Source organism: Homo sapiens, chromosome 2, assembly GCF_000001405.40.
Source record: "Homo sapiens chromosome 2, GRCh38.p14 Primary Assembly".
In the NCBI taxonomy this organism is placed as follows: Eukaryota; Metazoa; Chordata; class Mammalia; order Primates; family Hominidae; genus Homo; species Homo sapiens.
The window spans coordinates 19,048,635-19,075,532 of record NC_000002.12 but is presented as its reverse complement, the minus strand read 5'-3'; the positions used below and the strand labels follow the sequence as shown (position 1 = coordinate 19,075,532).

Below are 26,898 nucleotides of genomic sequence, written 5' to 3'. Positions count from 1 at the left end.
CGAAACATCCAACTGTAGGTCTAGCTTTAGGCAAGGCTGAACCATGGGTTCAACTGGTGTCTCTGTGACTCAGTTTCTTTCACCCCCATCTAACATAAAACCCTGTAAGCTGGCTTCTTTCTTGGTCAGACTCTCTTTTAATGATTACAAGATCAGTAGTTTCTGAATACACATACTCCCACTTTAAGTCCAGAACAAGGATAAGATTATTTTCACAACAATATAAAGCCCGGGATTTGACTTCCAGGCAGGATGATGGATCCATTTCTGAACCAGTCACTTGCACCAGTGAGATTGGTTACTCTGTTCAGCTTCAACCAGTTTCTGATTGCCCCTGAAGTATCTGAGGCAAGTCCCGCAAACCACATGCTCTGGAGAGGCAGGAGGATTGCTTGAGGCCAAGAGTTTGAGACCAGCCTGGACAACATAGTGAAAGCTTGTCCCTGCAAAAAATTCAAAAATTAGTTGGGCATGGTAGCATGCACCTGTGGTCCTAGCTACTTGGGAGGCTGAAGAAGGAGGATCACTGGAGTCCAGGAATTTGAAGTTTCAGTGAGCTATGATCGTGCCACTGCATACCAGCCTGGGTGACAGAGTGATACTGTCTCATTAAAAAAATTGTCTTCCTTTCTCCCTATCATGTTGTATAAAATTTCATCATTTGAGATTCACTCATTGAGAACTGTAAGCATTTTCCTGTTCAAGAGCCTCTGGTAAAATTTAAATACCTCATGGAGTTCTGTCTTCATCTTCCCATACTTTATTGACAAATTATTCCAATGCAGCTACAGTTAAACAGGATAAAAATAAAAGTTACCTCAGAGGAGAGTCATAAATGTTGCCAAGTTTGGTCCAATTTCTTTATATTGTTAACATTCAATAAGAAATAACCATTCTATCTGTCATTATCACTATTGTTATCATATACAGAACTCATACAATTCTCAGAGAAGCTGTGTTAAATAGATTAAATAGATTTTCCCACTTTACAGCTGAGAACAGAATGGGGGCTAAGTGAGCCTTAGGGTAACTTTCTGGTCACACGGCTAGTTGGAGGTATACACAGGAGTTGATTCCCCCTCTGTTTGAAGTTCAGGCCTTTGTTATTTTTGCTGCTTTACTCTTCTGATTGCCAAACTCCCCAAGCCAAACTTAACTTCCCAGGAAGAAGGCCCGGTCTGAGCAAGTGCCGAGCCAGCCACAGGGCAAGTGGCCTCTAAGTGCTTGTGATGTGAAACGATGAAAATCACTCACACCATGGATAAAGAACCTGCCTGGATCCAAATGTGGACACCTGAGAGTTCCTGGGACTTATAAAAGTGGAAGCCATTCTGTTTGCCCAGGCATCAAAGGATGCTAGAGTTACTACCATGCATAATCATCCCTTGTGCACCCACAAGTGCACATAGTGAAACCTTGCCCCTGCAAAAAATTCAAAAATTAGTTGGGCAGTTGGGTCCCTGCTCCAGAACCAGTCCTGAAAGAACCTTGAGGCAGCTTCCTAGGAGCCTTTGGCCAAGGCAGAAACACTGAGGGCTCCCTTCTCTGGAGTCTTGAAGTGGCACACAGATTCTAGTTCCTTTTGGCTGGGCAAGCCCCTGTGTTTGGCTTAGGGTGAAATGTATACCACACATCTGGCCACTGGAAAGCTGGGGAGGAACGGTGTGGTCAGTGGGGCTGCAAGGCCATTTCAGGGCGGTTAAGCTGGAGTAACCCGAGTATGGCAGGGCCTGAGTCATCCTGGACTCAGGAAGCTCCCACTTGGGCGGAGTCTGACACCTGAGCTCATCTGTGGCTTTGCCCTGGCTGGCCCTGCCCTGCCCCATCTTGTCCAGTACAGCTCAGCCCAGCCAGCCCAGGCTGGGTCCTGCTGGGTTCCAGCCTGAAGGAACTGAGCCCAAACTGCAGAGCCAGGAGCTCTGAGCAAAGGCAGTGATGTCAGCAAGGGTGGGGTATGATGTGTGCACAGCCCAGGGAGGTATCTGTTTCTGGGTCCATGTGTCCATGTATAAACCCACTATCCTTGTGTGCACCTCCCTGTGACTGTCTATGTGGACATTCTGGGCATCTATGCATATATTTGCGTGAATGCCTGTGGGTGTTGTTGGCTTATGTGTCTGGGCACATTTTCCCTGGGAAATAAGAGTATAATTGCCTTTGTCACAAAATTTGATTGGTTAAAAAGCAGCGGCTATAAAGAGGTTGAAAAAAAATCTCCCTTTTGTGTAAAGTCTCATGCCGAGGGCTGAGGGAGATTTAGGAGAGTGAAAAGAATCAGCCTTTAAACTTAGGAAATGCATAGTCACCTGGGTCAAACACTTGCCTAGGAAAACTGAGCTCCTGCTCCTAGGAATGTTTGTGCAGGACCTAGGACAAGATGTCAAGGAATGGCGGTCACTGTGGTCGAGGTTACCTGAGACATCAGCCTGGGGCAGGTTGGGATGGGGAGAAGAGAGTTGCATGGCAACGATTTATTCTTTTCTCCAAGTATTGACCCCCTTTGATAAATACAGAAATGTTGTTTCTTCCTTTCATAACATCAAAATCCAAGGTATTTTAAAAATGCCTCAAAGCAGTAGGGTGAAATGTTTTTGTTGTTACTGTTGCTGCTGTTGTTCCCCACCTCTGGCAAAATCACACAGACTAGTAACACTAAGATGGGACATCCTGGCATATGGTCCTTCCGGCTCCCTCGTGGGTCTCCTCCTTCCGACCTGGTGGTGCTTGCTGGTGTCTGAGAATGCTGCTCAGATTCAGTGTGGGATGGAATCAGGCAGCCTCCCACTTGGGCTAAGCCATCACGGGCCCCTGCTCTGAAAAAGGTGGATATGACTTAAGAGAAAGCCCCTCAACTGCAAATGAGGAATTCAGGACTCAGAGAACGGGAGTCACTGAGGATTAACAGGAAGTTTAGAGAATAAAATGAGATACTTGTGAAGACTCCTTGAAGAAAGGAAGAAGGATAAAAATAGGGAGGAAGAGGGAAAGAAAAGAGAAAGAGACAGAGAAAGAGAAAGAACAAATAACACCAGATAGTACTCTGATGACACATCTGGAGAAAGGGCTTGGGACCGCTTTCTGTATCTCAAGTTACTCTGTAGGCCCCCTAATCAACTTGGCTTGCACAGCCTGTGGTGTCTCATCTGTCTGCTTAGCACCCAATCCAATAATGATAAATTCATTACCAGAGCAATAACAGCCCCACCCCTGGTGCACCCTCTGTTGTTCTCTGATAAACACCAAGAACAGGCAAGAGCCTATGTTCACTTTATTCACCACTCCAAAAAAACTTGAGAAATTCCCTTGAGGTCTACCTCTTAGATATTGAATGGAATTTTACATCTGTTACACAGGGAGTTTCCGGAGAGGCACTCAAAGTGTCCCTTGTGGAACCAGACACAGAACCTTGGATCCCAAATGTACTCAGTGAATACTTAATAAATGCATGATCACTTAAGGCATCCCACCTAGAGAACTGCCACTTTAGCCTGACAACTCTTATAGATTAAAAGTAAGGCCCCAGATAGAACCCAGGAACCACTGCCACAAGATTGACCCTGGCATTGAGGGTGTTCAACATGGCATATTTCCAACTCTAATACAACTGCTGTAAGCCCCAGGGCTGTGTATTTAGTGCATGGGCACCTGCAGAAATAGCAGGGCTCTCCTTACTCTTTTCACATACTGTGCTCAGTCATCTTCAGTGAGCATTTGACTCTTGGTTTAGTTTAGAAGATATAAAAGTAATACAACTAAGCATATGGTCCTCCTAGTGACCCACATTCCATGGTGTGTAACAGTACCTTGGGCTTGGTGTGGACAGGCCATTAAAATTTCAGGAAGGTCGAATCACATGTGGGCTCCATCAGATTAATGAGGGAAAGTCTCCCATCTTCTGTTAGACATGGTTTCATGACACTCACAGAAAATGCAGGAAACACCTATCACTCTGTGGCCATCTGCATAACAGAGCAACCCAACTCTCTTGACCATTTGTTGATGGGTGAGTAGAGAACAGGCTTGGTGTTCTCTGGCCACCATGGTTAAAATAGGAAACCTCCCTGTACATTTAGACCAAGCTTCTGGAACCCGATAGAACAAAATGGTGCCAAGAACTTAGCAAAGAGAGATTGCCTAAAGCTCCCCAGCTTCTTAGAAAGCAAAACCGCCTATCACCATCTATCACCATAAATGGCCTGCCTGAACTGCTGGTGCCTCAGCCTGCACCATAATATTTTATTCAACTACCAATTCATTACACACACATCCTGAAAGCAAATAATGTTAATGTAAATAATTTGGGAAGCATTGTTCCATCTGTTGAAAATGTGCAGTAGTTGCTTTGCCCCTTGTCTAAACTGGGGCGGCTACTTTCAGGCAAGTTTGGGAGGTAAATGAACTGTCTGGATGCTTTTCTTGGCAGTCTTTCTTATTAGTGGGAGGTGGCAGTAACGAGAACATGAGGAAGACGGAAAGTGTTTACTTAAAGTCATGGCCAAATGGCTAGGGAGAGTTAAGATAAATCATAAGCTGTCAATGATGACAACTTCAGACTGCTACTAGTTCACTCCTGTTTATGGAGTTTCAGATGCTACATTTAGAATGTTGAGGAGTTTATTAAAGTCGTACTGGTAGAAGTTGCTGATTGTTTAGACGTCAATGTTTGAGGCAAGAGGCAGCACCTACCGAGACTAGGAATGATGAGTGTACAAAGCCCTTATCCAGCCATTCCAGGTGACCCTCTGCTTGGTGAATGGGTAACACTGACTCAAATTTCCCTTCAGAACTCAAACTATGGGCCAGGTGCAGTGGCTCATGTTTGTAATCCCAGCACTTTGAGAGGTTGAGGCAGGTGGATCACGAGGTCAGGAGATCGAGACCATCCTGGCTAACAAGGTGAAACCCCGTCTCTACTAAAATTACAAAAAATCAGCCAGGCGTGGTGGCAGGCACCTGTAGTCCCAGCTACTCGGGAGGCTGAGGCAGGAGAATGGCGTGAACCTGGGAGGCGGAGCTTGCAGTGAGCCGAGATTGCACCACTGCACTCCAGCCTGGGCAACAGAGCGAGCGAGACTCCGTCTCAAAAAAAAAAAAAAAACTCAAACTATGGATCAGCTTGGGCTTTCACTACCAAAAAATATTGAAGGGCCAAAGCCAAATGGATAAAAGAGCCTGGTTCTTTGCTTTTCTAATTGCATTTTTTGTTTGTTTCTTTTTCTTTTGAGATGGAGTCTTGCTCTGTCACCCAGGCTGGAGTGCAGTGGTGCAATTTTGGCTCAATACAACCTCTGCCTCCCAGGTTCAAGGGATTCCCCTGCCTTAGCCTCCCAAGTAGCTGGGACTACAGGCATGTGCCACCACATCCGGCTAATTTTTATATTTTTAGTAGAGATGGGGTTGGCCAAGCTGGTCTCGAACTCCTGACCTCATGTGATCCAACCACCTTGGCCTCCCAAAATGCTGGGATTACAGATGTGAGCCACTGTGCCTGGCCTCTAACTGCATTTCTTATCCAAGGCAGTCTTGCTTGGGTGTTGACTCTTGAATTGCAGCTTCGAGGTTGGTGAACGTGAACAAAAGGCCAGATTCTTCTGAGGTTAGCTAGTGTCCTCAATCAACAGTTTTTCCTCAAACTCCTCTCTGAATATATACCCAATCCAAAGATTTGGCTCTTGTGAACCTTCAGTGTTTATTTTACGAAACTGCAATGTCTTTCTCTGTTCTTTGAACTCCCTCATAGAAAGACTGTATGATCAGTGGCAAATGCAGAGAACGTGTACTTCTTTTGCACACAAGGGCAATGAAGAGCTGTAAAGTGCTCCTCCATGACTTGCATATTCCTTTTCTGTAAGTGTCTCTCAAACTTGTATTAAATGCTGGCCAGGGCCCAGAAGGGTCAAAACAATCACAGCAAAAAATGGTGAAGCTGTGATGATAGAAGCTTGTATAAATTATTGAAAAGGGTGAAGGTGGAGAGAGTTCAAATCTCTGAGGAATTTGGGAAAGATGGCACTTAATTGAGATTTTGGAGGTTGGGTAGGAGTTTTCCAGATGAACAAGGGAGGTATGGTTATTCCAGACAGAGGAAATGGCATGTGAAAAGGAAACAAAAAACATGCTCTGGTTGGAGAATTGCTTAGTAACTTAGTGTGCTTCGAGAATGATTTACAATGGACAGTGGTAGAAAGTGAATATGATAATTGATTGTAGGTTTTTAAGAATGGGAATAATGGGCAAAAGGAACAACAAAACAGCAGCATGGAAAACAAAATAACTTTCTACCTCTTCCTTTTGTCTGCACCAGAATACTGCCTTTCTTTCAAACATTTTGGAAAAGACAAAATCACCCAGAATTTCAAATCGTAGATTCTTTGGAAAGAGAAGATTGATTTCTTTCTTCAGAAGGAAATCAAACTAAAATAATCTGGGGTGTTTTATCAATAGGGTTAAAATTCTGTGTTTTCAAGTAGGAGAGATGAGGTTTGAAAAGAAAACAGGAGGTTTCAGACATAACCAGTAGCATGAAAAGTTAACGTGGGAAATCATAATGAAGGGGGTGGGAAGAGTTAGTTAGATGTATCTTCAGTACGCACCTCCCTCATCCCACCTGTTTTGAGTTGCACCAAATCTCCTTAAAAGATTATAGTTCTAACCGCCAGAACCTGTAAATGTGACCTCATTTGGAAACAGGGTCTTTGCAGAGATCAAGTTAAGATGAGATCATTAGGGTGAGCCCTAATCCAGTATGAATGTGTCCTAAGAAAAGGAAAAATCTGGACACAGAGACACACCCACACAGGGAGAATGCCATGTGAAAATGAAGGCAGAAATTATGGTGATACTTCTACAAACCAAGGAACGCCAAAGTTTGCCAGCAACCACCAGAAGCCAGGAAAGAGGCACAGAACAGACCCTTCCTCATGGCCCTCAGAGGAAACCAACACTGCCGACACCTTGATTTCAGATTTATAGCCTCCAGCAGTTTAAGAAAGTGAATTTCTCTTAAGCTTCCCAGTTTGTGGCACTCAGACCCAGACAACTAATACAGCATCAGACTGTGGACTCAGCTTTGAAACAGCCTTGCTGATGGGGAGAGAATTCAAGACAGATGGGAAATAAGCATCCAGGAGCCAAGAAGCATGGGGCCCTGGATGGTTCTGCGCAGCATAAGGTGACTGTACAGACCATGGCTGTCTATGTTAGGCCAGTACATGGCTATTTGATACTATTCAAAGGAAAATTGATTTTGTGATGATGAACCTGAAAGGGTTTTAGATGGATGAGTACTGTAGAGTTCAAATAAGTGTTTCATCAGGGATCAAAATAAGTTCTTTTTTGACTGAAAAGAAATATATACATATATATATAATTTTTAATACACACACATATTTATTTTAATATAGCTATCCGAGGAAATACATGGCATAGAATTTTAAGGTGTGTGCCTCAAAAGAGAAGGAATGATTATCCACTTTTTTCCCTAAAAGTTTAGTCACCAATATTAACACTGAGGAGACTGTAGAGGGTTTTAAACAGATGTGTTCATAAGTCATAAGGCATCAGCCTTATAAAACATAGCTACAAAACAAGGCATTGTTTCAATATCCATGTTAAAGCATGAACCCTGTCTGGCCATCTGCTGGAAGTGCTCTCTCCCCTCAAAATATCTGCAGGCATTTCTCAGACTTTCACCTTTTCTTCAACAATCCCCTTGCCTCTGCTCTGACCCTTCTCTGCGCTGGTATGTTCTTAGTGTCCTTCCTTAATAACAGCTGTTGAGAGTGTTATTCTGCTGGCACTGTCATCTCCATGCATGTCCACCTGGAATTCCCTCTTCCCTCCAGGCTCAGAAAGTGAATGCTCCTTTCTTTGGCTCTCCCAGCTCCACTGATAGCAGACTAAGATTTTAACAATACTTGCCAAAAGTCTAGGGGAAAGAGTAGTTCAACTTACAAAATAATGCAGGTATTCAAACCCCAATCTTGTCTTGATGGCACACCTCAGAGTCAAAGCCAGACTCCTCTCTGGTTCTGTATGGATGTCCTTCCTTGGTTCAGTTCTAAGGTGGCCCTAAAGTTGTTACCCCCAGGAGAAATCCTTCTCCCTGTTCACCAGTGAGTATCTCTTAGATCTCTGTGGAACAGACGTGGCAAGACACATAATCAACCACATATTTAACATTCATTCCGTCATTCAGCAAATATATATTAGATGCTGACAACAAGGAACAAGAGAGACAAACCTCCGTTCTTGTGAGACTTATGTTCTAGTGGGAGAAGAAAAAGCACAAGGAAACAAAGGGAAAACATTAGGGAATGTGGTTAGTGCTGCAAAGGAAATGGAAAGGTGGATACGTACAGGCACAGTATCCTAGGATGGAACAGGAAGGGGGAAAATGAATAACATTTTCTAAATTAACAAAATGACAACATTACATGGTAGCACAAGTATCACAAGTATCACAAGAAAGGTACTGATGGGGATGGAAAGAAAGAGAGTTCTCCCCGCTGTTTTACTGTGAAGCTGTGATTCTACGCAGACCTGCTCCCACTGGCCTTTCTCAGTGTCTTGTGAGATTTTGTGCTCATTTAACATAAAATATTGTGGTCCAAGGATAACAGTGCTTATTGTGCTTCTGCCCTCCCTCCCTTCCCTATAGATTAAGGATCATTTTCCTTTGTGGAGAGGAAATAGAGGAGAGTTCAGTCCTAAACCACAAGGGATACTTTAAGATGTTGACCAATCGTTTTTGCCAGTGCCCAGTGGCACATAGAGTATGTGCTTCTATAAACATGGATCTAGATGTATGCACTTACACACACACACACACACACACACACACACACACACATTTAGAGTGTAAAATAACATAAAAGCTAGAAAGCACATTTATATACATTTATGCATAACTAAGGAAACCCTCATTTTCTGGAACCTGTTAATGAGATCAGTTATAATAAATACATAATATATTTAATACAAAATGTAAGTACATATCCCTACAATTGTTTCAACTCAATAGTTGTTTTAACTCAGGTATCTAGCTACTTGGGGTGATCAAGCATATGATTAAGGTGATTATAAATTTTCATAAGAAAGAATGTTTTCTTTAGAAGGCAGAAGAATGTCTCACTGTGAAGAAGCTCCTGATCTTGACAATTATAAGAAAACTTTTAGACCGTGGTCTCCTATATTTCAAAATAAATGTGAGAGTAATTTTTTTTTTTGAGACAGTGTTTTGCTCTGTCGCCCAGGCTGGAGTGCAGTGGCACAATCATGGCTCACTGCAGCTTTGCCCTACCATCCTCAAGCAATCCTCCTGCCTCAGTCTCCTGAGTAGCTGGAACTACAGGCGCACACCACCAAACCCGACTAATTATTTTTACTTTTCTTTGTAGCGATGGGGTCTCACTATGTTGCCCAGGCTGGTCTCAAACTACAGTGGCTCAAACAATCCTTCCAGTACTGCCTCCCGAGGTGCTGGGATTATAAGCGTGAGCCACAGCACCTGGCCACAGAGTACATTTTAAATGTCTTAATAAAACGTGACAGGTAAGTGAAGTGATAGATACGTTAAATTGCTTGATTTAATCATTCTATATTGTATACATAAATCAAAACATCATGTTGTACCTCACAAATGTATACAATCATGGTTTGTCAATCAAAAATAATATTGAAAGAAAAATTATTTAGAGAATGCTACAAAGAACATGGTGAACAATGCTTGCTTGGCTCCGTTTGTATACAGAAAACATAGAGTAATTCAGTGTCTACTTTGAATATTTTTATGCAGGCCAAATTGCAATGGCTAATGAGACAAAAAAAATCAAGTGATTTCCAAAACCTGTTGTAATTAATTGTACAATTCTGGTATGAGAATCTCAGATTTTTTTTTTTTTTTTTTAATGACTGTAGCATAGACTCTGGACTTAGCCCAAGATCACATTTATTAGCTATGAGATAGATATGATTTGGCTCTGTGTCCCCACCCAAATCTCACCTTGAAATATAATAATCCCCGCGTGCCAAGGGCAGGACCAGATGCAGATAATTGAATCATGGGGGCAGTTTCCATCATGCCGTTCTCACGATAATGAGTGGGTCTCATGAGATCTGATGGGTTTATAAGAGGCATCCCCCTTCGCTCGGCACTCATTCTCTCTCCTGCTGCCCTGTGAAAGGGCACCTTCTGCCATGATTGTAAGTTTTCTGAGGCCTCCCCACCCCTGCAGAACTGTGAGTCAATTAAACCTCTTTCCTTTATAAATTACCCAGTGTCGGGTATTTCTTCGTAGCAGCGTGAGAACAGACTAATACAGAGATCTTGGTCAAATTAATCTTTCTGAGGCTCCTTTTTGATACCTGCATAGCTGTCACTGTGATTCTTGCTTGGATTCTCACACCCTGGGAGGGTCAGGATTGCTAGGCAAAGGTTAACAAGGGTTAGTATTATTATTATTTTTTTAACTTGAACCATTCAATGTATGGGCTGGGACCTGTGGGCTTCTTGCAATATCTTACTCTAAAAAAAGATGTACATGTGATGGTTGCAGGAGTTCCCGTATAAATTCCCCTCCAAGGTGCAAGGGACTCACAACTCTAGTATTAATGACGACAATAAAACAACAACCTCAAAATAAATAAAAGCCTTTCTTTCTCTTTTAACCAATCTTTGACTTGTACGGGGTTGGGGAAACAGTTTCTTCACCCTCTTGCCCTGTTCTTCACTTTTTCCTAAGAAACTGAGGTACTAAACTATGTTGGATTCTCTGCTGCTGGGGTGGTCCATATTCACTAGTGGGAAGTTCATCATAGGCTAAAATTTACTTTCTCCTTTAATCTTATGGCTAGATTGGTGACAGGGCCTTAGTTTAGCCATCTCTTCTTTTCTTCTTGTACTCAGGGTTTTATGCTGGAACACACACTCCCTCTCTATCTATCACTTAGACATTAGGTTCAGAAGATCTGTCTGCCTGATGACAGATAACTTTTTATAGAAGAGCTGTTTTTTATGGTAGAGTACATTTCATTTGTTTGTTGTCTTGTTTTAATAAAAGACCCTGTCTCTGAAATTTCTCCAGGTTAATTTTATTTCTTTTTCCATGCAATACTTTCCTTATTTATTACTTCTGTCTCCTGTTCCATGTGAGCAGCCCAAGGATGCTAAGATTCTAAGATAAGATATTTAATTTAGAGTTTGGTGGTCTGGACTGTGATCTGAGAGTATGCCATGTGTCCTAGGCAAATTACCAGAAAGTTCTGCATTTGTTTATTTGGCATTAGCCAGGCTAATAATGAAGCGGACTTTAATTTCTCATTTGCTGTGGTCCCTTGTTTTTATGGGGACATTACAGGAAAAAGCTGTGAGATTAAGGCAGGATTCATATGTTCCTGTTCCCCTGTCCCCAGGAAAATGCCATCTAATGTTATAAAATGTCATCCCTCTTTCTAAAACATCACTTTTCCATTGAGAATACAGCCATCAAAACTTTTTCTAGATTTGAAGCATATGCACAATTCTTTTCCAAATCTTTACTTAATTAACGTGCCAATACAGATGAAATTTGAATAATAATGAGGTAACAATACAGTTGGAAAGTACTTAGTTGTGGTCCCAGATACCAAGGCAATGAGATCTCGGCTGCGAAGTGTGTCATCAGCATCTGGCTTTCTGGGTTATGATGTGGTCAGGGATGTGTCTTCTGGCCCATTTTGGAGGCGCAAAAATGGTGATCCATGTTTGGATTTATGTGGAAGGGACAGTTCCACAGTATGGAAAAGGGGAGACAGTCCCAGGAAGCGTGAAGAGGAAAGGTCATTGGTAAGTCACTACTCTTTGCTCAGAGTCCCACAGCAAACAGCTCCTCTTGCTCAGGCAGGTGGCTGGATCTTCTGTCCCATCTCTCCCTTAGGTGAGGTCCTTGTTTTTCTTTGCCTTCGCTCCTTTTATACCAGCATGGCTCAGTGGCTCAGTGGCTCAGTGAGGCAAACTGAGGCAAGTTGAACTGTAAACAACCTGGAGCTTCTCAGATGAAAATTCCAGTTTCCTCTAAATTCTAGAGATTTTTCCTAATTAAATACAGTTAAGTAAGTCAATCGTGTGTGGATTTTCCCATCACTGTTTTATCCAGGCTCTTAAATGTGTCTTTTCCTCCCTACTTGTTTAATAACTTTAATCAATTTTACTGATCTTAGAATTTTTTGGGAAGTTAGAGGTAAAAAATTGGCAAAAATGTAGGCCAATTCATTTTAAATCTTAGTAGTTTATCAGGTAAAGACAAAACAAAACAAACAAAAAGAAAATAGGCTTAATAAAATGTGAAATTATTAAAATTCCTCATTTAATCCTTCCTTGTTCCCAGAAAGTCTAGGTAGAAAGCAGCTATCTTTGATGACAGAATGATAAAGAAACCCACCTTTCTCCCAACAATCCATAAACACCCTGAGGTAAGAAACCACCTCCTAATTCTCGATATATCCCTGGTACCTATCCCATGCCCTAACAACTTACAGGCAATTAGCAAATACTTTTTGAAATAACATACAGATGAAATGATTGACTAACAGACTGTGATTTCCCAATCGTTGGTTAACTATTTAAACTATATTTGAATCTCAAGTTTGCAAAAATGGGTTGCCCACTTATTATAAGTCCATCCATGGCCCCCTCTTAGTTTACTATATCTTCTGTTTTCTTCTTCACCCACCACCCTTTCATTTCCAAGTTTCCAAGTACATTAACCTCTCTGTCAACTTTCTTATCTAGAATAACTGTACTAGTTAGGGAACTGCTATCTATTGTTTCAAATAAACCTGAAACCTTGGTGGCTAACAAAGCTGAAATTTATTTTTTGTTCATTTAAAGTTCAGTGTGTATATGCGTGCATGTGTGTGTGTTTGTGTGTGTGCATACATGCATATGCAAATACATACATATGCATTTTGAAGCACTGGGGAGGGGCTGTTTCACACAGTCATCCAGGAACTTAGACCAAGGGAGATCTGCATCAATGCATGCTTTCCAAGGTTACCCAGAAAGAACAGAGAAAGTGGAGACTTGTGTAGATTTTTAGGAGCCAGGCTTAGAACAGGTTACATCATTCCTTCCTGTATCACCAGCCAAAACTCTGGTCCATGGCCACAGCTAACTGCAAGGCAGTCTGGGAAATGGGTTTGATGAACAGGAAGTCAGTCTCAGCTTAGAATTCTTTCAAAACATCATCTCTTTAATTTTCACAATACGGGTACAACCAGAAAAGTAGAATATGTTTTTGCTTTGATGGTGGTTAGAGGGTACACATATTTTTCTGAAGGTATGGAGAATACAATTAATTATGAAATGGTATTGGGCTCTAAATCTCATTTTATTTTTCTTTCACCACTGAAGATTCTTTTGCTATGGTAACATCTAGCACTTATATAAAGCACTTACTTATTATGTACCTCACACTGTTCTAAGCTCTTTGAATGGATACATTTATTTAATACTCATGACAACTCTGTAAAGAAACTAGTGTTAGAAATAGAGACTGTTATTTCTATTTTATAGATGAGGAAACTGTAAATAGTATAACCAGATTATGAACCCAAGAAACTCCAGAATAGCTCACTATACTCTTCATTCATAATTTATAAAAGACTCATCTGTAATCTCCTTTAGAGTTTTTACTTAATTTTCTTAGTTCTCTTTTGGGTGAGGCTTGTTTGATTATTATTTTCAAAGGTGTAGCTTTAGGTTTGATTAATCATGTCCATTGCTATTTATTGTGGTTTGTTTATTTTTTTTCTCCTTTTCTTTGCTATCTTATTAATTTGTTTATTTGGATTTACTCTGTTGCTCTTTGTCTAAATTTTGAATTTAGGTACTTAATACATTTGTTTCCATTTATCTCCTAATTTCTGATAAATAAATATGTTTACAGTTGTAAATTTCCCCCTACAGTCTGGTTTAGCTACATCCCAGAAATTTTTGCATATTATTTTGTCATTGTGATTTACCTTTTAGCACTTAATAATTTTCTTTATAGTTTCTGCTTTAATCTAGGAGTTTTGTAGTTAGTGGCTTATAGAAACAAGGGATTTGAAAGTCATCTGTTTATGATTAGTGAAAGCCAACTGTTTTATTATTGATTTCTGTTACTATTCTGTATTACTTATTATTGATTATAATTTTTTTGTGGGCCAATAGCTGATTTGTTTTGAAATGTTCATGATATTCTCCAAAATGATGTGCATTCTGCTTGTGTTGACTGTAGCATTTCTAAAGTTAACTCTTAGATAAATTGTATTTCACTGTAAAAATCCCTTTTTTGCTTTTTTAAAGTCTTGTTGATATATCAGATCTTGATAGGGTTGCATTAAAATATCCAACTACAATTTTTTATTCTCTCTCCATATTTTTATAAATTGTCTTGTTCTGTATTTTGAGGCTAGTGTATTAGGTTCATGTATATTTCTGATTACTATAGCTTCATGATCTCTTTTTCTTTTTATCAGAATGAGATGCTTTCCTTCATTTTAAAACCACATAAGAATTTTGTGCCTTAAATTTTCTTTTGTCTACGTGCCAAGACAACTCAATGAGGGAGGAATAGTCTTTTCAGCAAAGGGTGCTAAAACAACTGGATATTTACCTGTAAAATAATGAAGTTGGATGAATATCCCACATCATGTACAAACATTAATTCAAAATAGACCTTAGCCATAAATACAAAAATTAATTCAAAATAGACCTTAGCCATAAATACAAGAGCTAAAACTATAAAAATGGTTTTTATAGTTTTAAATGAAAAAAAACATAGGAGTCAATCTTCATGATTTTGGATTAGGCAGTTGTTTACTTTAGATTTAGTTGTTCGATATTCATAACATAGCATACTGGGATTTCTAGTTCATCACCTGTTTTTGTAAATCAAGTTTATTGATGGACAGCATGCTCATTCTCATTCATTTACTTTAGTCTAAGACTGCTTTCATGCTACAATGGTGGATTTGCATAGTTTAGATTGACCATACAAACCATAAGTTATAGATTATTTCTTACTTGGTCCTTTACAGAAAAAGTTTGTCAACCCTCCTGGTTTAGACAATATTAATAGTAATCTTCATAAAAGTTGTTCACCTTTTCTTCCTTATCTTCTTGTTTTCTCCTGGACTAATTCCTATTCTTGTTGAAGTAATTTTCTCCAAGAGTTTCTTCAAAGAGATCCTATGTGTGGTAAACATTCTAAAAACCTTAGATGACTAAAATTATTCTTATTTAGCCCTTAGATTTAAATACTGACTTACTTGGATTTGTAATTTCAGGGTCATTTTTTTTTGAAAATATTGCTTTATTGTCTTTTTCCTTCTGCTTCACTATTGAGAAATCTGATGATTCTTATTTTTTTGGAGAGGATTCACTTTTTTCTTTTGGAAAACCTCTCTTTTTGGTTACCTGAAATTTTAGAATAAATACCTAGTTAATTTTTTCACTGTTACTTACCATGTTTAAAACTCAACAAGCTTCTTTAATCTTTTCAGATTATTTTCTGGTGCATTTATTATAAATATCAACTACTTAGATCATCTATGTCACTTATCTTCTCTTATGTTTTCTTCTTGATCTTTTTTATCCCTTCTTTATGCCTTCTGGGAAACTATTTTGATCAGCAGTTTCTGTTTTGTTATTTCTTTTACCCACTGACATTTTAATTTCAGCAATTATATTTTCATACCCCAAATATCCAAGTGGTTCTTCTACAAAATACATTGGTTTCTTTTTCATGTTTTCAGTGTCCTTGTTTATTATGCCAAAACTATTTTATTGTGTTTACTTTCAATTCTTATCATCTTTTTATTTCATTAGTACTGCTTTCCTCTGGTAGCGATTGTGCCATCATTTCTTTTATTCTGTTTGGCATTCTCATATACCTTAAATATTCCATTTTTCATTTCCTTGCTGCTATCAGATATCATGTCTACTAATAGCTAACTGGAGGAAGAGTTAAGACAATAGACCCTTGCTTGTGTTCAAGGAGATTCAAAGGGTGGGGAGCATGCCTCAGGGTGGAGACCCTCTGGTGTTGCTATCAGGGCTCAATTGTTCTCTGCCCTTTTCCCTAGGGAATCTCTCAGTACCTCTGCCCTAATCTCTTCTCTCCTACGGAGGCAGTTAAGGTGGGGTGAGAAGAGGTGGGAGCAAGTAATGAGTTGGGGCTAGCTGCCCACCTTTAGCATAGCTGTTATATCCCTACCTCAGCCAACTGGCAGCTTCAGCTCTCCTGCTTTTCCTGGCTCAGGTACATTCCTATGCCATGACAACAGCAAGGCAGAATTTGCTCCCCCCCAGGGCAATGTGAGAGAGGGAGAAACAACACAACCCAAGATCTCTCCCAATCATCTCTGCCTCTGAAAAGATTTTGTCACAGTTTTTCAGTTTGTTTTTTGAGACTGGGTCTGTGACAATCAGTAACCGTATCCTTCTGGTCTTATTTCCAGAATTGAGTTTTGAGGGAGGGTGCCAGCAGTTTCTGCCAGTTTGCCTTTTTGTTTCTCTCCATAAAAATGGTTTGGTACATTTTTAATGCAACTATTCCACTTTAGGAACTTAGTTCTGGATGAGAAAAAATAGAAATTATAGCATTTTTATTTTATTTTTCATGCCTTGATTTTTATTACAAGGTGGCAAATGCTCATCATGTTAAACATTAGAAAATAAATATTTTAGATCAGCTGAAATTCCACTAACCAAGGAAAATTGAAATTACAACTGGATGAAGTTCATATTATAATTTTTGACTCTTGGTGTTTCTGGAGAAATTCTGTCAAAAATAACAGAGGTAAAGAATTTTCATTTATCATTCTTTTGGGTTCTAGAATAATCCTTTGGCTTATCCCATGGGCCTAGAAACCAAACTAGGGTGAACTGGGAGAATATGTAGAGCAAAGATCATTTGGGTAAATTGTCAACCTTTGAAGCACACAAAACATCTCCAAATCAATCTTAACAGTAATAGCATGGAAGGCACATGTGTTCCCTGTTGGCCACAGTATCTTCAGAACACCTTTCTTTTTGTAGACAAGTCCACAGAAACTTAAGCAAATAAGAATAATAACAAAAAAATGTGGTGAGAACATCAAAAGTGGCACAGAGTGGGAGGACTCTTAGAGAATATGAGAATCAATCAGCTGCAAATCCTGTTAATATGATCCTAGTGATATATGCAATAAATATTGTTTTAACAAAAAATTATCTTTTAACAGTTTTCAAAAGGTGAGAGAGGCAGTAGAGTACATATGTGAGGTTGTTGAGGAGGGAAGATTTTGGAGCAAGAGGTTATTCTTCATCCCTCAGGACAGAAAGACAATAGATAACACCTAAATGTGAACAATACAAAAATAAAAGAAATATTATCTAGCAAAACAGTTAGTTGAGCAGTACAGCTATGAGTTGGGAAACACAGGGCATGGATCTGCTGTTTTAATAAACCTTGTGATATTGACTTTTTAAATTCATGTACATGTTTTGTTTGGATAAAAACAATTGAATAAACAAGACCAAAAATAAATAAATAAATAAATAAATAAATAGCTTAAGGTAGTGGAAGAAAATGTAAGAGAATGTTTATGGGATCTTAGAGTGCTGAAGTCTTCCTAACAGAAAGGCAAATTATTTGTAAGACTTCCCTGACTGCCCTGTTTATAGTAAATCCTGTCCAGTTTGTCACATATGTAGCAATTTTATTTATGGTGCTCTGAAAATGAAGCTATTTTTTACTTTTAAGTTCTCATATCTATTACCTGAATATAAAATATGCTCAAATGGCATAAAGGGAAAATGGAAAACACACATACAAAACACACTGAAATGTAAATAAAAAACTGTGTTAATAACCAGATAAAAATCGAATGAAACCATGGATATGCTGTCTTGTCAATACCATTGGTAAAGGTGTGCATCTTCAATGGTAGTGCCATTATGGCTATAAGTGCAGAAAGTTTCTAGAAGTAGACTTGCTGGGACAAAGATATGGTACACACAACCAAAATGTTCTCCAAAGGTGTCAATACACACTTTCACAGTGATATCCAGATTATTTGTTGCCCAGACTGGAGTGCAGTGGTACAATCATGGCTCACTGCAGCCTCAACCTCCTGGGATCAAGCAATCCTCCCACCTCAGCCTGACAAGGTGAGCTGTGTGCCACCACACTCAGCTAAATTTTTAATTTTTTGTAGAGATAGGGTTTCACCATGTTGCCCAGGCTGGTCTAGAGCTCCTGGGCTCAAGTGATCCTCCTGCCTTGGCCTCTCAAAGTGTTGGGATTACCGATGTGAGCCACGGCACCCAGCCAAATATATGAGTTTATGATTGATTGATATACATGACCCCAAGTAGTATCTGCTATTTAAATATCACACTATACTTTCATTTTAAGAGTGATCACCTTATAATTAAGATATTTCTAGGAGTGTATGCTTTTTCTAAATAATAATCAGAGGGATAATCTCTCCCATCCACATATGTACGTAGAATGTTTCAAACTCATAGTAGTTTTTCATAAAATAAAGTCATTTACAAACTGCCATGCTAACTTATGATTTCCCTTTCAACTGGTATTGCTGGAGAAAGAACATTTTCTTTCTTCATACAACTATTTCTGGTATAATTCTTCCCTATCTCTTTTACAGATAGTTTTTCCATTGTAACAGATTCCTTTGACTTCAAACATGTCCTTCTTCTCTCCATACTCCACTGCTGTTGTCACTAATAAAGATTTTATGTCCCTCCGCTGCCTAGGAAATCTTGCTCTGGCCACTATAATGCAGACAAGGGAATGGTTTCAACTTTAAGATAGATCATATGATAGGAAAAAAAACAAGTATCAGTAAATTTAAGAAAATATAAATTATATCAAGTACTCTCTTAGACCATGGTGGAATAAAATTGGAAATCAACTCCAAAAGTAACCCTCAAAACTATGCACATACATGGAAATTAACCTCCTCTTGAATGATCACTGAGTAAACAATGAAATCAAGATGGAAATTTAAAAATTCTTTGTACTTGACTATAATAGTGATACAACCTATCAAAACCTCTGGAATATAGCAAAATCGGTGCTAAGAGAAAAGTTTGTAACATTAAATGCCTACATCAAAAAGTCTGAAAGAGTACAAATAAACAATCTGAGGTCACACCTCACAGAACTGGAGAACAAGAACAATCCAAACCTAGACCCAAAAGAAGAAAAGAAGTAAGGAAGATCAGATCAGGACTAAATGAAATTGAATAAAACAAACAATCAAAAAATAGAAAAGATAAATGAAATGAAATGCTGGTTCTTTGAAAAGACAAACAAAATTGATAGGCCGTTAGTGAGATTAACCAAGAAAAGAAGAGAGAAGATTCAAATAAGCTCAATTAGAAACAAAACGGTAGATATTGCTACTGGTAACACAGAAATAGAAAAGATTATTCAAGGCTACTATGAACACCATTAGGTGCATAAACTAGAAAACTTAGAGAAGATAGATAAATTCCTGAAAATATACACCCTTCCTAGATTAAACCAGGAAGATATAAAATCTCTGAACAGGCCAATAACATGCAGTGAGATTAAAATGGTAATAAAAAAAATTACCAACAAAAAAAGTTCAGCATTAGATGGATCCACAGCTGAATTCTATCAGACATTCAAAGAAGAATTGTTACCAATCCTATTGAGCTGTTCCAAAATATAGAGAAAGAGGGAATCCTCCCTAAATCATTCTGTGAAGCCAGTATCACCCTAATACCAAAACCAGGGAAGGACATAACAAAAAAAGAAAACTACAGACCAGTATCCCTGATTAAAATTGATGCAAAAATCCTCAACAAAATACTAGCTAACCAAATCCAACAGTATATCAAAAAGTTAATCCGCCGTGATCAAATGTGTTTCATACCATGGCTGCAGGGATGGTTTAACATGTGTAAGTCAATAAATGTGATACAGCACATAAACAGAATTAAAAACAAAAATCACATGATCATCTCAGTAGACACAGAAAAAGCATTTGACAAATCTAGCATTCCTTTATGATTAAAACCCTCAGCAAAATTAGCATAGAGGGGACATGCCTTAAGGTAATAAAAGCCATCTACCACAAACCCACAGTAAATATTGTACTGAACGGGCAAAAGTTGAAAGCATTCTCTCTGAGAACTGGAACAAGACAAGGATACCCACTTTCACCATTTCTATTCAACATAGTACTGAAAGTTCTAGCCAGAGCAATGAGACAAGAGAAAGAAATAAAGGGCATCTAAATCGAGAAAGAGGAAATTAAACTGTCACTGTTTGCTGATGATATAATTGTTTACCTAGAAAACCCTAAAGACTCATCCAAAAAGCTCCTAGAACTGGTAAATGAATTCAGCAAAGTTTCGGGATACAAAATTAATGTACACAAATCAATAGCTCTGCTATGCAACAACAATGACCAAGCTGAGAATCAAATCAAGAACTCAGCCACTTTCACAATAGCTGCAAAAAAATAAAATACTTAGGAGTATACCTAACCAAGGAGGTAAAAGAGCTCTATAAGGAAAACTATAAAATATTGCTGAAAGGAATCACAGATGACACAAATAAAAACACATCCATGCTCATGGATGGGTAGAATCAATACTGTGAAAATGATGATATTGCCAAAAGCAATCTATAAATTCAATGCAACTCCCATCAAAATAGCACCATCATTCTTCACAGAACTAAAAAAAAAAATCCTAAAATTCATATAGAACCAAAAAATGCGCACATAGCCAAAGCAAGACTAGGCAAAAAGAACAAATCTGGAGGCATCAATATTACCTGCCTTCAAACTATATTATAAGGCCATGTCACCAAAACAGCATGGTACTGGTCTAAAAATAGGCACATAGACCAAGGGAATGGCATAAAGAACCCAGAAATAAAGCCAAATACAGCCAACTGATCTTCCACAAAGCAAACACAAACATAAAGTGGGGAAAGGACACCCTATTCAAAAAATAGTGCTGGGATAGTTGGCAAGCCACATGTAGAAGAATGGAACTGGATCCTTGTCTCTCACTTTCTACAAAAATAAACTCAAGATGGATCAAAGACTTAAATCTAAGACCTGAAACCATAAAGATTCTAGAAGATAACATTGGAAAATCCCTTCTAGACATTGGCTTAGGCAAAGACTTCACGACCAAGAACCCAGAAGCAAATATAACAAAAAGAAGGACAAATAGATGGGACTTCACTAAAAAGCTTCTGCATAGCAAAAGAGATAATCAGCAGAGTTAAAAGACAACCCACAGAGTGGGAGAAAATCTTCACAACCTATACATCTGAGAAGGAACTAATATCCAAAATCTACAAAGAACTCAAACAAATCAGCAAGAAAAAAAAAAAAATCCCATCAAAAAGTGGGCTAAGGACATGAATAGACAATTCCGAAAAGAAGATATACAAATGGCCACAAGCATATGGAAAAATGCTCAACATCACTAATTATCAGGGAAATACAAATCAAAACCTACAATGCAATACCATCTCACTTCTGCAAGAATGGCTATAATAAAAAAATTTAAAAAAATAGATGTTGGCATGTATGTGATGAAAAGGGAACACTTTTACACTATTGGTGAGAATGTAAACTAGTACAACCACTATGGAAAACAGTGTGGAGGTTCCTGAAAGAACTAAAAGTAGATCTACCATTTGATCCAGCAATCCCACTACTAGGTATCTACCCAGAGGAAAAAAGTCATTATATGAAAGAGAGACTTGCACACATATGTTTATAGCACCACAATTTACAATTGTAAAAATATGGAACCAGCCCAGATGCCCAGTCAATGAGTGGATAAAGGAAATGTGATATGTATATATATATGATATATTTGTGAGATATATACGATATATATATAATAAATATATATGATATATATATATTATATATATATATGGCATTTGCAGCAACCCGAATGGAATTCGAGACTATTATTTTAAGTGAAGTAACTCAGGAATGGAAAACCAAACAGTGTATGTTCTCATTTGTATATGAGAGCTAAGCTATGAGGACACAAAAGCATAAGAATAATTCATTGGACTTTGGGGACTTCGGGGGAAGGGTGAGTGGTGGCGAGGGATAAAGAACTACACATTGGGTACAGTGTATACTGCTTGGGTGATGGGTGCACGAAAATCTCAGAATTCACCACTAAAAAACTTATTAATGTAACCAAACACCACCTGGTCCCCCAAGAACGTATTGAAATATAAAAATAAAAAATTGAAAAAAAAAAGACCAGATGACTAAATCCTGGACTGGATTCTAGATCAGAAAACAAAATGCTATGAAGGACAGCATTAGGACACTATACATATGGGACTACATGTTAGGTAATAATATTATATCAATGTTAAATGTAGTTAATTTTAAAATATAAAAATATAAGATCATTTTTTCAGAAGATAAAAATGGAAATCTTTAGGGGTAGAGAATTATATCTGCAACTTATTCTCAAATGGTTCAGCAAACAATAATATTGTAATATATAGTCAGAGAGAATATGCGTTAAAAACAAACATGAAAAAATGCTAATAATTGGTGAAGACAGATAAAGATCCTAGAGGTGTTTATTGCACTATTCTTGTAATTGCTTCTGTAGTTTTGAACTTTTTTCAGAATAAAATTTTTTTTTAAAATTAGAGAATCTAATGCTTATGATAGTCTAATGAGTTATTTGCTTTACTCTGTTCCTAGAGTAAATGTAAATTAACAAGCTATCTGTAAAACAATTGTCAATAAATGTTCAAGGACCTTACAATATTCATACTCTTAATCCAGATCATTGGGAGTTTATCCTAAGAGTCAGTTATGAAATATGGGGGATGGGGGGAAGTATAAAGAGAGGTATTCATGTTACATCATTTAATATATTAAAAATCTGGAAAATAAAAGTAATTCATTAAATTATGGTATATTTCTTAATAAGGCAATAGATTATCAACATATTAAGATTTTTATCCACATTAAAAATACTTGTGTTATGTTATTCTGTGTAAAGAGCCAATATCAAATTATGTATAATTATGATCCCAATGATATACAATTTTTCATAATAAAAACTGATATCCACCAAAATATGAATAATACTTATCCATGGTTGTGAATTATGAGTTATAATTTTCTTTATATTTGTCAATTTTGTTTTGTTTTGCTTTGTTCTGTAGAATAAGAGGGTGGAGCTCTGAGTTAAAGTCCAAGGGATCCCCAGCTAGTTTATGATAATCATCATGATCCTCTGTTTCATCGTCTTCCTCATTTCTTCTGTGATAAACTTTTAAAGATGTGCTTCTCCTACCGTTTGCTGAAGAGAAGACAAAACATGTAACTAGAGTTTCTGGGGTGAAAGGCTGAAGTTGACAGCTACATATTGAAAATACCTTGGAAGTCTTGATCTCTTTGCAAAATGCATGAGTTTATTTCTCATTCTATTTGATAACATTATCTATTGGTTTTAATATAAGAATAATATAGTTGTGTGAAAGTATATGGGAGTATACCATTTTACAAAATAAATTCTTGATTTTCAAATTAATATCCCGAGTCCCTAAACCAAATGAAAACAAAGTAGCTTCAAATAAATGAAGACATCACTGGTGATTGCCTAATTTCCTGCTTCGAATGACTTTCTTTCAGACTGAAATAAAGAACAAGTGGGTATACTTTCTCTAGAAAGGAGGAGTCTAGAAGGAAAAATCCCATGAGATTGGTGTTTAAAAAGGAAAATGCTACTAGGCACATGCAAGAAGGAAATATACTCTTTTATGAGAGGACAGAATTCTGTTTTAATGCAGAACAGTGGGATGTTCCTGGAGGTCACGTGACAAATTGGATCCTATGCAATAACCTATTTGGATCATCAGCACATGTTAAAAAAAATCCCACTGTGAATCTCAGATGAAAAGTTTTGCTAAAATCCAGAGTGCATGGGAGGAGATGATAGACTGGTAGAAAAACAAAGCCCAGAGGAGTGTCTTTAACTTGGTGCTGTGAGATTTACTGGGGCCCGACAGGGGTCAGACTTGAGGTCCTTCCTGTTCACAATCTATAAAAAATGATATAGATTGGTTAATTCTGCTGACACACAGAGCCAAGGGAGGCGTAGCCCTTCAAAAAAAAGTCAGTTAAACTCAGAGTGTTTGGGGCTATTCCCTTGGCCTGAAAATTCTCAGAAATTAGTTGAAGCTAGTTCGTCAGTGGTCACATTTGGGGGAGAATGTACGGCCTATAAAGTAAGTGTAGAAGACCCAATCAAAAGTTGTTTTTGGCACAAGAGGTAAAATTACATTAGTGTAACTTGAATTCCTGGATTGCTTTAGACAATGCCAAGATCTGGGACTCAATTTTAGATAAGGCAAGTTTCCCAGCCTCCTATTTCAGTCATGTCAAAAGAAAGTACAGCAAATGGGAATAGCGCACGTACATTTTTAGTGTGACAGAACATGTCACCTTCAGCTTGCGTCTGATGGCTGACCACAGAGGGGACTGGGACCTGGAATACACTGTGTTCTTCACAACAGACAACCCAGGAAATCGTAGCATGTAGACATTCTCATTTTATCCTTCCCTCCCACTTCATGAAGCCTCAGCAGAAATGCTATCTTTTTCCTGAAGAAGAAATGAGATGCATCCAAATTATTTGCTGTTTAGTATTGAATTTGTTCTTACAATTACAGAGGGGTGAGTGATTCATATAGGACGAAAGGCCCCCTACACTCATGATTTTTTCTGTGGTGCCCATTGCTTTCCTTCTCTCCAGACAAAACATTTTGTTTGGGGTTTACTATAGTGTTTGTTTTTATTTTAATATCAGTAGAAGGAAACTCTGAACACACAACCTTAATTGGAAAAATCTCTTTCCATAGTAAACTAGATTGTTGCACTGTTTAAACACAGCTAGTGAGGTCAGGTTTCTAAATATAGTGTTTTGGTGGAAGTCAGGGGCTTTCTAAGAGTTGAAGAGTTCTGTGACCTGGCTTATGGTTTTTGGAGTGGATTGTTTAGGTTAGAGGAGAGTCTAAAGCCATTTGAATTAGCAAGGTTTTAGGATTATGGATGGTGAAATTTCCCAAAGCAGTTTCAAGATTGAAGGTGGGGAGCCAGACTTCCTGCCAGGCTACAAAGGGGTGCTAAGCATGAGAAAATGGACTCCATAGAGTCTGGCAGATGATCGACATATGGATGAGGAGAGCTGGCTGGTGTCATGAGCCTCAATGAAGGAGAGTTATGTTCAGGAGGGTGGGAAAGCAAGGGTCTAGAAGCTGTCATGTAGGTGCATAAAATGTTTTTCAGTACCTCCTACAACAACCATGGGGCCGTGGGGGTCACATCAACACAAGCAACACCATCATCACAAGTCTGCAGGGTTCCAGAGACTATAGTGTAGGAGAAAGAACACTTTCTGGAATTTGAAGATATAGGAGAAATACAGTGGAGTGGTCTTTCCTAGGAATCCCATGGGAAGCACTGGGAGCTGGCCCGTGAAGGGAGAGGTGGCAGGATTAGGACGAAGGCCACAGGATGTACTGATAAAAACTCAGGAGACACTGCAATCCTGGGAGGTCTCAGGAAAGACCAGGAATTGAGAAACAGATCCACTTGAGTTTGAAGAGAACAAAGGAGCTAAGAGAAATGTAGTTAAATTTTTTGCAAATTATACTCTTCAGCTGGGCATGGTGGCTCATGCCTGTAATCCTAGCAACTCGGGAGGCTGAGGTGGAAGGATCACTTAAGCCCAGAAATTCGAGACTGCAGTGAGCCATGATCGTACCACTGTACTCCTGGCCTGGGGGACAGAGCAAGACCCTGTCTCAAAAAAATAATAAATTAATAAATAATTAAAAAGTCTTCTTAGTACTTGATGAACCTGAGAAATGGGAACTCCATTTCTGGTTAAGTGGTTGATTTCTAAACGTTCTCATTTAGATAACCTCATTCTTGTGTGAATTGGTCTTGTTTTCTGAACCTGGCTTTCCGATTAAAGCAAAATTGGGGTTCACTCCAGTGACATGAACACAAGACTTATATAATTTAGAGAATGTACACCATTTTGTAACAGCGCTGTCTTCCTTTTCAAGTCACGCTAAGGATGACGGCAAGGATGCTGTAGCACTTGGAAGGCCTCAGAGGAGGGGGAAGGAGCTGACTCTAAGAGTAAAAGGTTGAATGATTGTCAGGCGGGGGGCCAAGGAAAAGGGGAACACATCTGCCAACTCTCCACTCCCAGTCCAAGTGCTCCAACTTCCCATCCACCGCCAAGACACATTTTATTTTTCTGACATGAAATATGTATATAATTCTAGCCTGATTTTTTAAAGCACAAGCGGGTTGATTCTGTTTATGCCTCCCTTTACTCCCACCCAGTGCAAACATTGGCTTCCAGCCTGGGGATGACGTCAGGACCTAGCAAACAGAATCCAAGAGCCAGGAAGTAGATGGCTAAGTAAATATGCCCCCCAGTGCTGACATTTTTAACCAGGTAGGTGTAGAGGTGGAGGATCTGGATGGGAAGGCTCAAGCAAGGAAAACAGGTGGGAAAACAGCAACTAGCACTTAATGACTGATTTTTTGCTTGTAGTCTAAAGCCATTTGTCTGGTTTCCATATCTGAACTTCAAGCAGCATCTTCTGGACTTAGTTCTTGGTGGCTGGAGCAGGGAAAGTGTGGCCTCATTGAAATGGGATCAGGTTTCAGGATGTTTCATGTGTGTACCTGAAACACACAGCTTACCATCTTCATGAGCAAAGAGATTTATGTAAGAAAGGAGAGGTAATGTAAATTAAAGGAATTGAGCAATGGAAAATACGTGAGTCCATGAATTAACAGATG

General features: G+C 38.7%; 1 long non-coding RNA gene across 1 annotated transcript in view, besides 2 other annotated features; it reads right to left on the bottom strand.

The window, feature by feature from the left end:
• LOC105373456 (uncharacterized) overlaps nt 1–26,898 on the bottom strand; it is a 529,181-nt gene that overhangs the window by 13,824 nt on the left and 488,459 nt on the right. The gene's annotated exons all lie outside the window — the stretch shown is intronic.
• Nucleotides 15,658–16,157: an enhancer, noted in NCBI's record as "NANOG-H3K27ac hESC enhancer chr2:19259137-19259636 (GRCh37/hg19 assembly coordinates)". NCBI's record gives its function as "activates a minimal SCP1, AML or CMV promoter by ChIP-STARR-seq in naive H9 embryonic stem cells {active_cell/tissue: H9 hESC(naive)}" and the evidence as "EXISTENCE:reporter gene assay evidence [ECO:0000049][PMID:30033119]".
• Nucleotides 16,158–16,659: an enhancer, noted in NCBI's record as "NANOG-H3K27ac hESC enhancer chr2:19258635-19259136 (GRCh37/hg19 assembly coordinates)". NCBI's record gives its function as "activates a minimal SCP1, AML or CMV promoter by ChIP-STARR-seq in naive H9 embryonic stem cells {active_cell/tissue: H9 hESC(naive)}" and the evidence as "EXISTENCE:reporter gene assay evidence [ECO:0000049][PMID:30033119]".